We start from the raw sequence: 13,349 nt of genomic DNA on the forward strand, positions 1-13,349 counted from the left end.
AAAAAAAAACAACCTATTTCTTCTGCTCTATTTCCTGCCGGCACATAACCCAGGTCTTGTCCTCGTAACATTCATACAACAGCCTCCTGCCCTCCCTGCCCTACCACCGGACTGACCATCATCCTAGCACAACGCAAACTCTATTTTCTTTTTTTTTTCCCAATTTTTTTATTTATAAAAATACGGAATGCTTCACAAATTTGTGTGTCATCCTTGCGCAGGAGCCATGCTAATCTCCGTATCGTTCCAATTTTAGTATATGTGCTGCCGAAGCGAGCATGCAAACTCTATTTTCATCATGCCATTCCCTTCCTGCAGACTTTCTTTGCCATTCTGTATTCCTAAGATGGGAATCCCAGGCTCTCTCAGTCTTTCCAACCCCAAACTCCTTGTGCAGTAGCCCAACCAGGCCAGAGCCCCTCACCGAATTCTCTCCTGCTCACCTTTCCTTGCAGCTCTGCTGACATCTGCAAGTTTCTGTACTCTGCCAATTGATGTGGCACAAATCACTTTCTTCTAGGATGTGAGCACCTACTGTGTGCTGAACACTCACTATTGCCAGGGACTCCGCCTGGTATTTTACACACAGTATCTCTACTGTTTTTTTGAATGCAGTCTCTGAGATCTTATGACCTCAGATTCACGGATGAAGAAAGCAAGGCACCAGTAACTAGAAGAGGGCAGTGGTGGAAATGGGTTTAAAACCTATGTGCGCCTGTCTCCAGCATCAATGCTGTTTTCCCTTACCACTGCCTCTTCAGGATGCCTTCCCTGAATAATTCCACTTGTCCTCTATATACATTCTTACCTCAGGGGTTTCCAGCATTCATGCATATGGTTTAAAACTGCTCACATCTTTATGACATATTTCTTACTTCAGAACTCCTTAAGGATGTATACACATAGTTTATTACTGTTCACACTTTTATAGCAAACACAGTCAGCACATTGCTCTGTGTGTGTGTGTGTGTGGGTGTCTGTGTGTGATGGAGTCTCGCTCCTTCACCCAGGCTGGAGTGCAGTGGTGTGATCTTGGTTCACTGCAACCTCTGCCTCCCCAGTTCAAGCCATTCTCCTGCCTCAGCCTCCCAAGTAGCTGGGATTACAGGCACGTGCCATCACACCGGGCTAACTTTTGTATTTTTAGTAGAGACAGAGCTTCAACACAATGGCCAGGTTGGTCTCAAACTCCTGACCTCAAGTGATCTGCTGGCCTCGGCCTCCCAAAGTGCTGGGATTACAGGCGTGAGCCACCGGGCCCGGCAGCACATTGCTTTGAGTTGACGTCTGGTGGCTCTGCAAGCCCTTCTCCCCTCTCCAACTGTCGTCACTCACACCTCCATGGCAGGAATCATTTCTATTTCCTTTTTCACCTCCATGTGCTTGTCTACCATTCTGCACGGAGCAGGCCTAAGTACACTGACCATTGGATGACAGATACGGGTTGAACAAACTACAGTGTGGTCCTCAGGTAGCTGTGGGGCAAGTGTCCCCTCCTCACCACCCCTCCATCCTCCCACTCTAAACCTAAAAGGAAAAGTGCTCTATTTGGGAGTCTCCTAAGAGGGAGTGAAGGAGCTCTGTAAGCTAAGCCAGCCTGCATACATGGTTCCCGGCACAAAGTCTACACACCAGTGAACACGTTCTTGGGTGGATGCTGGATGCTGATGGCAGGGCTTCATTTGATGTTGGTGAAGTCAGTTCTACCCTGAACCTCAACAACTTGAAATCATAAGCAGTAAATAGGCAGACACAGATGGAGATCTAGGTAAGTTTGGAAATAACTGAAGACTTATCTTTGGAATGAGCTTTCACATTACATGGGCGGGCTTTTACATCACGTGGGCTGATGAAGACTGATGATTCAGTCTTCATGCCTGAACCACGGGTTTACTTTTACATGGTCCACAGAGGTTCAGAAGCTCTGGCTGAGGCTAAGGAGGCAAAGCCTTCTGAGGAGTCTTTCCTGTATGATTGCTCTTGTTCTCACTCAAGGCAAGCTGGTGCTAGACAGGGATGATCCCTTTACTGTGTATGTGTTAGTGGGGGACTGAGAGGAGGATGGTGCATTTCAGCAACTCAGCTGTTAGTTCCCAGCAGCTGGTGGGTGCCATGAGAAGTGCAATTAAGCCCCTGACCCCCCTCCCCCAGCTCCTCCCCAGCCTAGCTACTCCCTTGCAAACCCTTTCTTCGTGGGCAGAATGTTCCCTTGCCAGCTGCCTGCTCCTCCAGGTGTTTCCTGTACTCTCTATTTACTGGCTGGGGTGGCTGAGGGTGGAGAGAGGGAGTCTGTTTTGGTTTCCTGTTAGCCAATGGCAGTGGGTGTGGGGAAGGCTGGCGCTCCTGTATCTAGGGGGAGCTAACCACAAGCAGCAGCTGCCTCCTGACACCTGCCTTTCTGAGAGCATGTAAACAGTTAGGGGACGAGGGAGGAAGAAGGCCTCCTGAGCAGGGCAGACACTTCTGTTCGGTCAGGCTGGAAGAGGTCATTTCATAAGCTCCCAACCTCCATTCTTTCCAGGGGGGAAAGGGTGGGGTCAGGTCACCCCAATGACCTCAGGCCTCCCTGGACTCTAATCTCTACATGAGAAGCCCAGGTAGTACTGGGTCTACCTCCACTGTCTACCTGCCATGAAATGGATGGCACTGCCTCCCCAGGCAAAGGCCAGGAGTGGAGAGCGAGACCTTGGCAAAGCCTCCATTTCCTTACCTGAGACCTGAAACAGCTACACATTCCCCACCTTCACCAAGGTCCCCAAATCCAGCCAGCTTGGTGCAGAGACACTGTCACGGGTTTCCCCCTGGCCACTCTTCCCAAGAAGGCAGGACAGTATTTTTGGTTTGTTGCAGTTTTTCCAATCCAGTTGAAATGATACACTTGTCTATGTATGTGTGATCCTTCCCTTCTTTCCTTCCCTCCCTCATCCCCTTCCCTCCCCTCCTCTCTCCTCCCTTCCCCTCTTCTTCTCCCCTCTTCTCCCACTTCTCCCCTCCTCTCCCCTCCCTTCCCTCCTCCCCTCTCCTCTCCTCTCCTCTCTTTTCTCTTTCCTTGACAAGGTCTCACTCTGTCACCCAAGCTGGAGTACAGTGGCACCATCTTGGCTCACTGCACCCTCAAATTCCCGGGTTCAAGCAATCCTCTTGCCTCAGCCCCCGGAGTAGCTGGGACTACAGGCGTGCACCACCACACCCAGCTAATCTTCATATTCTTTATAGAGACAGGATTTTACCATGTTGCCCAGGCTGGTCTTAAACTCCTGAGTTCACGCTATCCACCTGCCTCGGCCTCCCAAAGTGCTGGGATTACAGGCTTGAACCACCATGCCTGGCCTCCTCAGAGCAGTTCTATAGCATTGACATTATTACCCTTAGACTGTAGAGGAAGAAACAGGCTCAGAAGGTTAAGCAAAATTACCTATGGGCACAGTGCTAGTAACTGGCAGTCAGGCTTGAATCCAAGACTGACTGAATAAACAAGAAAAATTATAGCAAACAACCCAGGGTTTCTTATGTTTCTTCTTGTCACGCTTAGTGCTCTTGTCTTCTGGATTCTAGGAACTTTTACACAAAGCCACAGTTCACTTTGCAGATAGCCTACATAAGATAAGCAGTCTGACATCCCAGTCTTACACATCTCTTATGCCCAAGCTCAGATCACCTCTCCTCTGTGAAATCATTGCCATTCATCCTAATGTTAGGTGATGTTTTAAAAACCTGCTGAGTTCTTACAGCAAGAAGCCACTGCTCCCTCCCACTGTGTGTCTTCCATGGGTTTCTTTTTTGTGTATATGTCATATTTCAATTTAAATATAAGGTCCTAGAGATCACCTCTGATGTTGCCCAACATTCACACAGCATCTGCATCTAACACAGTACCTGGACATGAAGCTGAAGCAAGAGGGACTGAGGAGACTAGATAGTCTAGATGCTTTAGGGAAGCCTCTCTTTTACCCTTTGTCTCACTCCAATTGGAGAAATCCCAGTTCAATACAGACTGGCCAGCCAGATGGGTTGCTTCACCCTAATCAGGAATTTCAGCTGCTGACTTCCCAGCCCTGGTACAAAACACAGGAACTCCTTGTGTTCATTGTGACCCACTTCCTTACTGGAGCCTGCTCAGGGTGGAGGCTTAGGTCTCAGTGGCTTCTCTTGTTTTCACAAAAGGAAAATAATCTCTGTCATAATTACTGCTTGACCAATAGGCTTCTCCTGTGACAACTCCCTGGGGGAAAGAAAATGGAGCACTGACTGTTTCCTAGGATGAAATTCAAAGATATCCAGGGGGGTGGGCCAGGATGTAAAAGCACTTGTTGAGATTATGGTGCTATTTGAATGTGAGGGATTGATGTGGATCCATGCTGGCCTTGGAGTCCAGAGGTTGTTATCTGGGTCTAGCATGGGGCCAGCTGCAGCTGGCAGCTTGAAACCCATTTTTATGGTTTTGAGTTTTCAGCCATCAGTCTGGCAGGCAAGTAATGAGTGTCCTGCAGTAAGTGCCCTCTTATGGGCAGAGACAGGTCCTTTCGAGAAGCACAGGGAGAGAGGACAGCAGAGGAGAAAAAACAGGGATGGGTCCACAGTGTGTTGCCAGTCCAAAGGAGGTGACAGGAAAATTATATATCAAAGTACCTAAAACACTGACCACATGGGATTGAATGCAAACTAATGGAATTACACAGCATGATCTACATCAGTGCTGGGATGTTAGGTACACAAATGGAAATGATCAGAGATGGGTGAGGTTAGCCTGGGCAAGGATTGGGAAAGACAGATGTTTTGAGAAATGCCTTTGCAGCTAACATGTCTTTACTACCTTATTTATGCCCAGGAGAAGACATTTCAACCACTTCTGAGCACTGGCACTTTGGCCAACACAAACAACAGGAGGTCAGGTGGGTGGGCAAAAGAGCAGGGCATGAGGCCAGTTAGGAGAGCGTCAAGTACTGTTCCCTGTGTTCTCTGGGTAGCCACTTTCCTCCCCTGTGCTTCCCATCCTCCCCTGACACCAGCATCACCAGCTCAGCCCTCTGCAGTGGCATTTAGCCTAGAAGAACGCATGCCTGTGGCCTCAGAATCGTAACTTTACTAAACCTTTGATTAAGACATAGGGATGATTCCCTTTTATTCTGAATGTATTGACCTCAATAAATAAACTCTTAGCACCTTAACCCAGAGTTCCCCTTGAATCCTCCTAAGTCAGGCTAGATTGATGGAAGGCAGAGGGAGAAGGGAGACAAAAATCTGAGATTCAGGAGGTTGCGGGGAGGGCACTAGCCTTAGCTCAGCCTCCACCCCTACTCTCTAAAAAAAGATCTCTGCACAGCCTTAGACCTTTCTACTCTCAGTTGCCTCACGAAATAATAGATGTGAAGTACTTTGAACTACGTTTAAAGTGCTGTGCCCACTCCACTTCCTGGGAGATGTGGGTGTGGGAAACTTGAGAGGAGAGCCTTGCGCAGCTTCTTCTGTTTACCTGGTGTTGGACCGAGCATCAGCTTGCTCTCTACCACACTAGGAGGTAGGGCGGTGGGGGTTTTTAACTCCCCAATTTACAGAGAGGAAACTAGAACTTGAACAACCCAGATGACTTGCCCAGAATTACACAACACGCAGACAGTGAGCTGAGACTGGAAGCTGAGTTTTCTGACTCCTGGCCCACTCCTAGCTTCTTAATGTTTGCGGGAATGTGGGAATGATTTTAACAGAATCCCATTCTGGAACAACTCAAACTTTATCATTTAACTGCAGAGCACCCAGATCCCACTATTCCCCACCTGTCCCAGAGGCCTTGGATTTTCCATTTAAACCCATTTCTGAAGAGGCAAAACGATGCGGGTCAAGGGATGTTTGCCTGATGAAAGCCTCAAAGTACAAAGTCCCAAAGTACTGCAGCTTAGTGCTGCTGCCCCAAACTGAAGTCTTCCTTCCCAGGGGCCCTGGCTCTGCGCAGAGCTGGTCAGAAGCCCAGGAGGAGCGTGGGGGCAGAGCTTCCCCAAAGGAGGACAGATGGGCAGGCTGGCCTCAGTACCCGTGCTTTCAACAAACTTTTGTTTTCCAGCCAAACATGCAGTGTCAGTTCCCCTCTCACCTCCCGCTCCCTGGCAGCCCACCCTCTAGCCCCCATTCTGCCTTCGGGTTGGCCCTGAGGAGCCGATGGGCTGTAGAGGGACTGGGGTCTTTCTCCTTTATGACTTGGGAGAAGGATGAAAAGGAGGCTTGCAACTGGTGTGGGGCAACTGTTGCCATCTGTCTGGTGGGATGTCACCAGGGAAGGTCTCGCCCATTCACTCCTTCATGCACCGCTGGGCTTGGGCCTTTTGTTTGGTTGGCTGGGGAGGGGGGCTGCTGTAGTGGAGGGAGGCCGTGGGTGAGAGAAGCAGCTTCTTTGTGTCTGGACCAAACTTTCAGTGACTCACCAGGTTAATTTGCATGAGGATGCTGCCCAAACCCCAAACCACTCAAGTGATTGACACCCCCTTCCCACTTCACAACCTCTCCCCGCCTCCTTTGGTCACACAGCTCCCCAGAGTCGGAGGGAGATGCTCTGGCTCCTGCACTGGGATGAGGAGCAGGCCAAACCTCTGGGTTCTCTCTCTCCACCCTCATCCCTGTCCCTTTCCCAGTGTAAGGTGGATCTGGTGTCCTCCTCCCTCCCCACCCCTAGCCTGGAAGAGCTGACATCCAAAGTCCTGCTTCCTCCTTACAGCTCTTTTTGTTTGTTTTTTCGGTGCACTGGGCCTGGCAGGCGAGGGGCCAAAGCCGGAGAAAAGACCCAATAGCCACCGCCCAGCAGCTGAGCAGGAAAAGAAAGGAACTGAATAGAGGCGGTGGGGTTGGCAGCCCTCCAGTCCAGCTTCTGGTCTTTGAATAAACACCCCAGCCAGGGGCTGGGGATCAGTGTGGGGAGGCTTTGGGGCATTTAATTATTTAAAGGTCTCAATTGGATGAGCTAAGTCCCTTGGGAAGGGGGAGGACAGGCAGATGGTGTGCCCCAGGAGCTGGGAAACGGGTGCAGGGTGCAGCGGGGATGGTGGAGGATGGGGGTGGGGGAGGTAGGGGAGACTACACCAGAGGCAGGGCTCAGAGAGTAAGAACATGGCGGAATGGGAAGTGAAACCGCGGACTGCCCTCCCGACCCAAGCAGCGCCCTGAAAATAGCCTTTCCCAACACCAGCTGGGGGCAGGTTCTCAGCCTCTTCTTCCTGTACCCCTTCCCACCATTCCCCATCTTCAAAGTTGGTGTCTGCCCTAAGCGAGATCCATTTTGAAAATATACAACAAAGCTGTGACGTTTGGGGGATGAATACTTCACTTTTCTCCGGCTCTGAGGCATGCTCCAGGCTGGGCCAGGGGATCAGGACTGTACTGATGGGAGGATTTTCTTGGCTCCATTTTTTTTTTTTTGCATAGTGGTGAAATTCACCTATAAAATTCAGCATTTTATCTGTTTTCATTTTATATGGTGAAGCCACACGGGGAATCTCTTGGGAGTCTGGAGAAGTCTTGGGAGTCCTAAGGACCTTAACTGAAGTCCTGCTCTTGGGGGGCATGTGGTGTTTCAAAAGGCAACCATTCTAGCCTTTTCCTTTGGCAATATAGCAGGAAAGTCCCCGTCTTCTAGAGCAAAGTCAGATGGGTTTCCCAGGTGGAAACAGACTACCTAGGTACAGCTAGCTCTGTGACAACAGGCAAGTTACCTAACTTCTCACTGCCTGTTTTTTCATCCTTAAAATAAGATAAAAGTAGTTCCTAGTCGGTATTGTTGGGAGGATTGATTTTTGTGAGGTGCTCAGAAGGGTACCCAGCTCTTAGAAAGTACACAATAAATGTGATTAAATATTATTATGGCCATTACTAGAACAGGAGGCATTCATCTAGGTTACACAATGGAAACTGAGATAAACAGGACTGGGGAATTGAGTATGAGGCCAAAGGAAAATGTGTGAGGGGTAGAAAATGTGTGAGGGGTAGATCTGCCTCTGCCCTTTCTCCCTTGTGTAACTGAGCTATGGTTGGAAAAGTGAGACCCTATCGTCCAGACCCTTGCTTTGTGGCGGTTTGGGCATTATTGTTACATGGGGAGAAGGTGTGCGATTTACGTCTCCTGCTTCCCGGGGCCCTTTTCATTCTCTCATTAGCACCTCCGGGCCTGCAAGGTCAGCTGGTCCCTTTTGGGGCACACACTGCAATACAGCACTGTCTTCAGTTCATAGTCTGTTCTGCCTCAGAAGTTAGGTGGATGATTTTTGCACCTTCTCACGTTTGCAAGTCCCTCTTCCTCAATATGCTTGGTGGTGAGGGTAAGGGGACAACGGTGATGCCTTTCCACCCGGGACCGTTGCGGCCAAGGCGATCCCACACGGGCTGCCTGGAGTCAGACCTGTCCAGCAAGGAAGCTTCGGGGAGGAGGGAGACAGCGCCGGCTGGGCGTGCAAAGGCAGGCAGGTGACCCTCCCTCCGTCCCGGATATGGGCCCTCGGCCGCTCACCCCCCAGCCACCCACCCACGTCCCTCAATCCCCACGAGCAGCTGACTGGGACCTGAAAGTGCCACCAGACGCCCTCACAAGTCTGCTTTCTTTGCTGGGAAACAGCAGCCGCGCCGCAGCCTCCGCCCGCTCTGGGGAAGCCCCACCTTGGCAACAAGCCGCTGATTGGCTGGCTCGGGGGCGGCGCGGGCCAATCCAAGCCCGCCCTGACGCCGCGGCGTTTGGCCGAGAACTATTAAGAAAAAAAAAAAAAGAAAAAAAGAAAGGTGGGGCCGGGCGCTAGGTGGCTTCCCAACGGAGTTGCTCCCCCGGCGGCTGTGGAGAATGGGGCCTTTCAGAGAAGGGGGAGGCGGGGAAGGGGCGAGGCGGGGCGGCCGTTGGGCTTGGGCCTTTTCGCCACCTGCCGCCGGAGCTCAGGTCCCTAAAACCTCGAAGGCGTCCCCGCTTCTCAGGTCCTCCTCGCAGCTTGAGCGACTGCAGGGCCCCGCCCGGCGCTTCTTGAGCAACTGGAGGTTCGGGGGTGAACCTCTGGCCCTTTCCCGTCCTCCCTCCAGAGTCCCTCAGGCTTTGGGCATTGATTTCCCCAAGTTCGGGCTCAGGCCCTCTTCCTTTTCTTCTCGTGCCTCTGCGTGCTTGCGCCCTCCTATGGGCGCAGTTACTTGAGCTCTGTCTGCCATCGCCAATCCGCCATCCTCTAAAACCAGATTAACCACCCCCTCCATTGTACTGTGGCCACGGGCGCCAGCCTCAGCCTCTAAGACAGCATACAGTTCCCCAGCACGTACATTGTAAACGTCGTTTAATGTATCTCGAGTGACGTTGTTCCCCCGCCCCAGGACACAGAAGCACACACACACCCACAAACTCAAAGAATTCGGCACAGTAGCATTGAGATTTAGACTGAAGAGACAGGTGACCACGATTCGACTCTAGCCTCTGCCACTTTCTGGCTGTGTTACTTTGAGCAGTTACTTAACCTCTCTGAGCCTCAATTTTCTCCTATGAAAAATACTAATGATAATAATGGCACTATCTCCTCTCATTATTGTGACAAAATGCCTGGCACATAATTGCCTAATAAATGGTGATATTATTTTAGGTATTAATAACAAAGGAATGAGCATTTCTTTCTCACATTTTACCTCAGCTCACAATTCTTGGTTTAGGTGCTGGGGATAGCACTAGATCCTAAGGACATTTAAAGTCCTATGAGTAAAGTAATTTAAGACTCAGAATAAAACTTGGTATGGTTTCAAGGCCCTGGGATGGGTCCTGCGTTTGGCTCCTAGATTTTTACTAAGGGAGAATTATCTTGGCAAGACTAGATTTCTCTTTTCTTCAAGGTCTTTTCTTCACATTTCCACCTCTCAAAAATTTTTAGAACAGCAGCAAGCAAGGACTTACAACTCCCTTTTTAATAGGATTTAACTTTCTCCTTTTGTTAGGTAGAACATTCCATAAATGTTCTCTCCATATATGCACATTGACACTTAGATGGGCTTGTTTGTTTTCCCCAAATCCCTTTCCTGAAGTCTTTTCGTGTCACCTGGAGACTCACCCCTTCTGCATTCTCTTGCCTGCCCCAAACATACCACATGCTGATACATCATACATTATCTTCAGTGGACGTGGAGACTGGTTGTTCAGTGCTCACAGACCCCTGGCGGCTGTCCAGTCCTATCACCTGCTGGGCTTGGTTGATGTTTCACATTGTTAAGAACAAAAGCAGTGATGCGTCTGGGGCATTTCAGTGACGCCTGACGGCGAGGTCAGGGAAGAGGGTAAGGAACACACAAAGATGGGATACAGTTCAATGGGGAGCCAGTAAGACTGGGGTTCTGGGGTTCAGTCTTGAGTCTGTGCCTTTAGGGAGACAAGTCAATTAAACGTGCTAGGTCCCAGTTACCCTGTCTTGTAAAGTAGGCTGTATCATACCTGTATCCTTACCGCATAGATGTGTCAGGGAAAGAAATGTCATAGAAGTGAAAGCACTTTATATTTTCTGGGTTAAAAAAAAGGTGTGGCGCCGGGCACGGTGGCTCACGCCCGTAATCCCAGCACTTTGGGGGCCGAGGCGGGCAGATCACGAGGTCAGGAGATCGAGACCATCCTGGCTAACACGGTGAAACCCCGTTTCTACTAAAAATACAAAAAATTGGCTGGGCGTGGCAGCGTGCGCCTGTAGTCCCAGCTACTCGGGAGGCTGAGGCAGGAGAATGGCGTGAACCCAGGAGGCGGATCTTGCAGTCAGCCAAGATCGCGCCACTGCACTCCAGCCTGGGTGACAGAGCGAGACTCCAACTCAAAAAAAAAAAAAAAAAAAAAAAAAAAGGTGTGTGTGTGGTAGGGGTGGGTGTGTAATGGGCTATTAAATCCATTTCATGCCACTCTTTTTATTGGGCCCCAAAGAATATGATTCCACAAGTGTCATTAAAAACTTAGGAATGCAGCTCTGTGTTAACTCTTGGGGAGTATTAGCAGGAATCATATGATATGATCCCTACCTTTAAAGAATTTACAATCTAACCATGTTGCTCAGCTAACACATGAAACATTGATGTGTGGCCCTACTGTGGTTTATAACAATGGTTCCTCAACCTATCCAGTTCTGTCCTGCAATAAAAGGATCATCTGGTGATGTGACAGTGGAGCCGATCAGCGGATGTGCCTCACCCCAACCAGCACAAGTGCTGGCCCCTTACCTCTCCCTTTCTGTCCTTGGCAGTGTTACAAACCATCCTTGCTGCTGCCTTCAGTGTTCATGAGCCATGGCCTGATGCCTTGAGTCCTGGGCTTGGGATGATAGTGCATTCATTGCGGCCTTCTCTCCTTCTCACCCTTGATGCTGCCCTTCACCTGCAGTCACACAGTACCTGTTCCTGATGCTTTCCTGCCTGCACCTGCCACTGCCACTGTTCACAAATGCCAATACAGCCATTGTAGCTGCAGCTGCTACTCTGGGGTAGACCCTGGATAGGACATTGGGGGTGCTGTTGTCCCTGCCTCTTCCACCCTGGGATAAAAGGGCCATCTCCCTTCCCCCTTCTACAAGAGGAAGAAGAGTGCTAGTGTAGCCCTCTAATCTCTGCATTTGCTCCTGAGGCCAGGTAACCAAGGAAAGATGCAAGGTAGCCAGGTGCAGTGGCACACATCTGTAATCCCAGAACTTTGGGAGGCTAAAGTGAGAAGATTGCTTGAGCCCTAGGAGTTCGAGACCAGCTTGGGCAATATAGGGAAAACTTTTCTATACCAAAAAATTTTAAAACTAGCTGAGCTGCACTGAGCCATGATTGTGCCACTGCACTCCAGCCTGGGCAACAGAGTGAGACCTTGTCTCAAAAAAAAAAAAAAGTGCAAGGAGCTCATCTTTTCCCACAGCACACCTCCTTGGTGGAGGGTGTTAGACTGGGTTGGCAAGAGGACCGGTTCTGTTGCTGCATGCTCAGCAGGCAGCTCCCAGGTCCCGGTTCCGGTTTCCCAGTGCTGGGCCAGCAGACTCTGCTCCTTTCCTTTTTTTTTTTTTTTTTTTTTGAGACGGAGTCTTGTTCTGTCGCCAGGCTGGAGTGCAGTAGTGTGATCTTGGCTCACTGCAACCTCCGCCTCCCGGGTTCAAGTGATTCCCCTGCCTCAGCCTCTTGAGTAACTGGGACTACAGGCGCTCGCCACCATGCCCTGCTAATTTTTTGTATTTTAGTGGAGACAGGGTTTCACCATGTTGGCCAGGATGGTCTTGATCTCCTGACCTTGTAATCCACCTGCCTTGGCCTCCCAAAGTGCTGGGATTACAGGCGTGAGCCACCGCGCCCGGCCAGCTCCTTTCCTTTTTTCGAGGATTGCCAACAAAGTTTCAGTATAACTTCTGGGAAGGAATAGATCAGTGTAATTGCTACCATCTTTGAAAACAAAAGATGGAACATGCCAGTTAAAATTAAAAGCAATACCAAGTCCCACTTATCAGTGTCACACAATTTCTGAAGTCTGAAGCAATATTTGGCATTGGGAGGATGTAGGGACATGGGGACCCTGGTATACTGATGGTGTGAGTGAACATTTGTACAACCACTTTGGAGAGCAGTTTGACAGTATCGAGTAAAGGTAAATTGGTCATACTTCATGACTCAGCAGTTCCCTCTTGGCATATATGCCAGTGGTTCTTAACTGGTGGTGATTTTGCCTTCCAGAGAACATTTGGCAACTCTGAAGACATTTCTGATTGTTCCCACTGGGGTGTAGTTAGAGGGTGGGTGCTACTGGCATCCAGTGGATAGAGTCCAGGGATGCTGCTGAACATCCTACAATACACAAGCAGCCCCCACTCCACCAGCAAAGAATTATTCAGCACCACATGCCAAAAACTACCACTGTTGAGAAGCCCTGGTATATATCCTAGAAATGCTCTCAAATGCAAGCCCAAAAGAGAAGTGAAAGGATGTTCACTGCATTATGTTTTTAACAGTAAAATATTGGAAAACTATCTAAACGTCCTTCAAAAGGAGAAGAGAGAAGTAAATTTACAGGAGCTAGAATGAATGAACTGGAACTATGAGAATCAATATGGATAGATCTTAGACACCCAATGTTCGGGGAAGAAACCAGAGTGATACATAATGTATGATGCCACATGTAAAATCTAAAGAAACAAACAACTCTCTATGGCTACATAAATATGTAATAAAAGTATAAAAATACACCAATCTCAGAAGAGCATTTACCTCTGCAGGGGAAGGGAGATGAATGGGAAGAGGTAAAAGGAGACTTAAAATATAGTTCCAATGTTCTTTTTTTTTCTTAAAAATTTACCTAAAGCAAATATGACAGAATGTTAACATTTGTTAACTCTGGTAAACAACTAGATGGTAAA

General features: G+C 49.3%; 1 pseudogene, besides 6 other annotated features; it reads right to left on the bottom strand.

Annotated features, from left to right (window-relative positions):
• Positions 178 to 279, bottom strand: RNU6-487P (RNA, U6 small nuclear 487, pseudogene; annotated as a pseudogene).
• Positions 5,557 to 6,481: an enhancer, noted in NCBI's record as "H3K4me1 hESC enhancer chr1:203293504-203294428 (GRCh37/hg19 assembly coordinates)". NCBI's record gives its function as "activates a minimal SCP1, AML or CMV promoter by ChIP-STARR-seq in primed H9 embryonic stem cells {active_cell/tissue: H9 hESC(primed)}" and the evidence as "EXISTENCE:reporter gene assay evidence [ECO:0000049][PMID:30033119]".
• Positions 6,509 to 6,588: a silencer, noted in NCBI's record as "silent region_1720". NCBI's record gives its function as "represses an Ori minimal core promoter by ATAC-STARR-seq in GM12878 lymphoblastoid cells {active_cell/tissue: GM12878}" and the evidence as "EXISTENCE:reporter gene assay evidence [ECO:0000049][PMID:35858748]".
• Positions 7,039 to 7,408: an enhancer, noted in NCBI's record as "active region_2347". NCBI's record gives its function as "activates an Ori minimal core promoter by ATAC-STARR-seq in GM12878 lymphoblastoid cells {active_cell/tissue: GM12878}" and the evidence as "EXISTENCE:reporter gene assay evidence [ECO:0000049][PMID:35858748]".
• Positions 8,718 to 8,817: an enhancer, noted in NCBI's record as "active region_2348". NCBI's record gives its function as "activates an Ori minimal core promoter by ATAC-STARR-seq in GM12878 lymphoblastoid cells {active_cell/tissue: GM12878}" and the evidence as "EXISTENCE:reporter gene assay evidence [ECO:0000049][PMID:35858748]".
• Positions 9,018 to 9,207: an enhancer, noted in NCBI's record as "active region_2349". NCBI's record gives its function as "activates an Ori minimal core promoter by ATAC-STARR-seq in GM12878 lymphoblastoid cells {active_cell/tissue: GM12878}" and the evidence as "EXISTENCE:reporter gene assay evidence [ECO:0000049][PMID:35858748]".
• Positions 9,867 to 10,503: an enhancer, noted in NCBI's record as "OCT4-NANOG-H3K4me1 hESC enhancer chr1:203297814-203298450 (GRCh37/hg19 assembly coordinates)". NCBI's record gives its function as "activates a minimal SCP1, AML or CMV promoter by ChIP-STARR-seq in naive and primed H9 embryonic stem cells {active_cell/tissue: H9 hESC(naive and primed)}" and the evidence as "EXISTENCE:reporter gene assay evidence [ECO:0000049][PMID:30033119]".

The sequence above is a fragment of the Homo sapiens genome, chromosome 1, assembly GCF_000001405.40.
Source record: "Homo sapiens chromosome 1, GRCh38.p14 Primary Assembly".
NCBI lineage: Eukaryota > Metazoa > Chordata > Mammalia > Primates > Hominidae > Homo > Homo sapiens.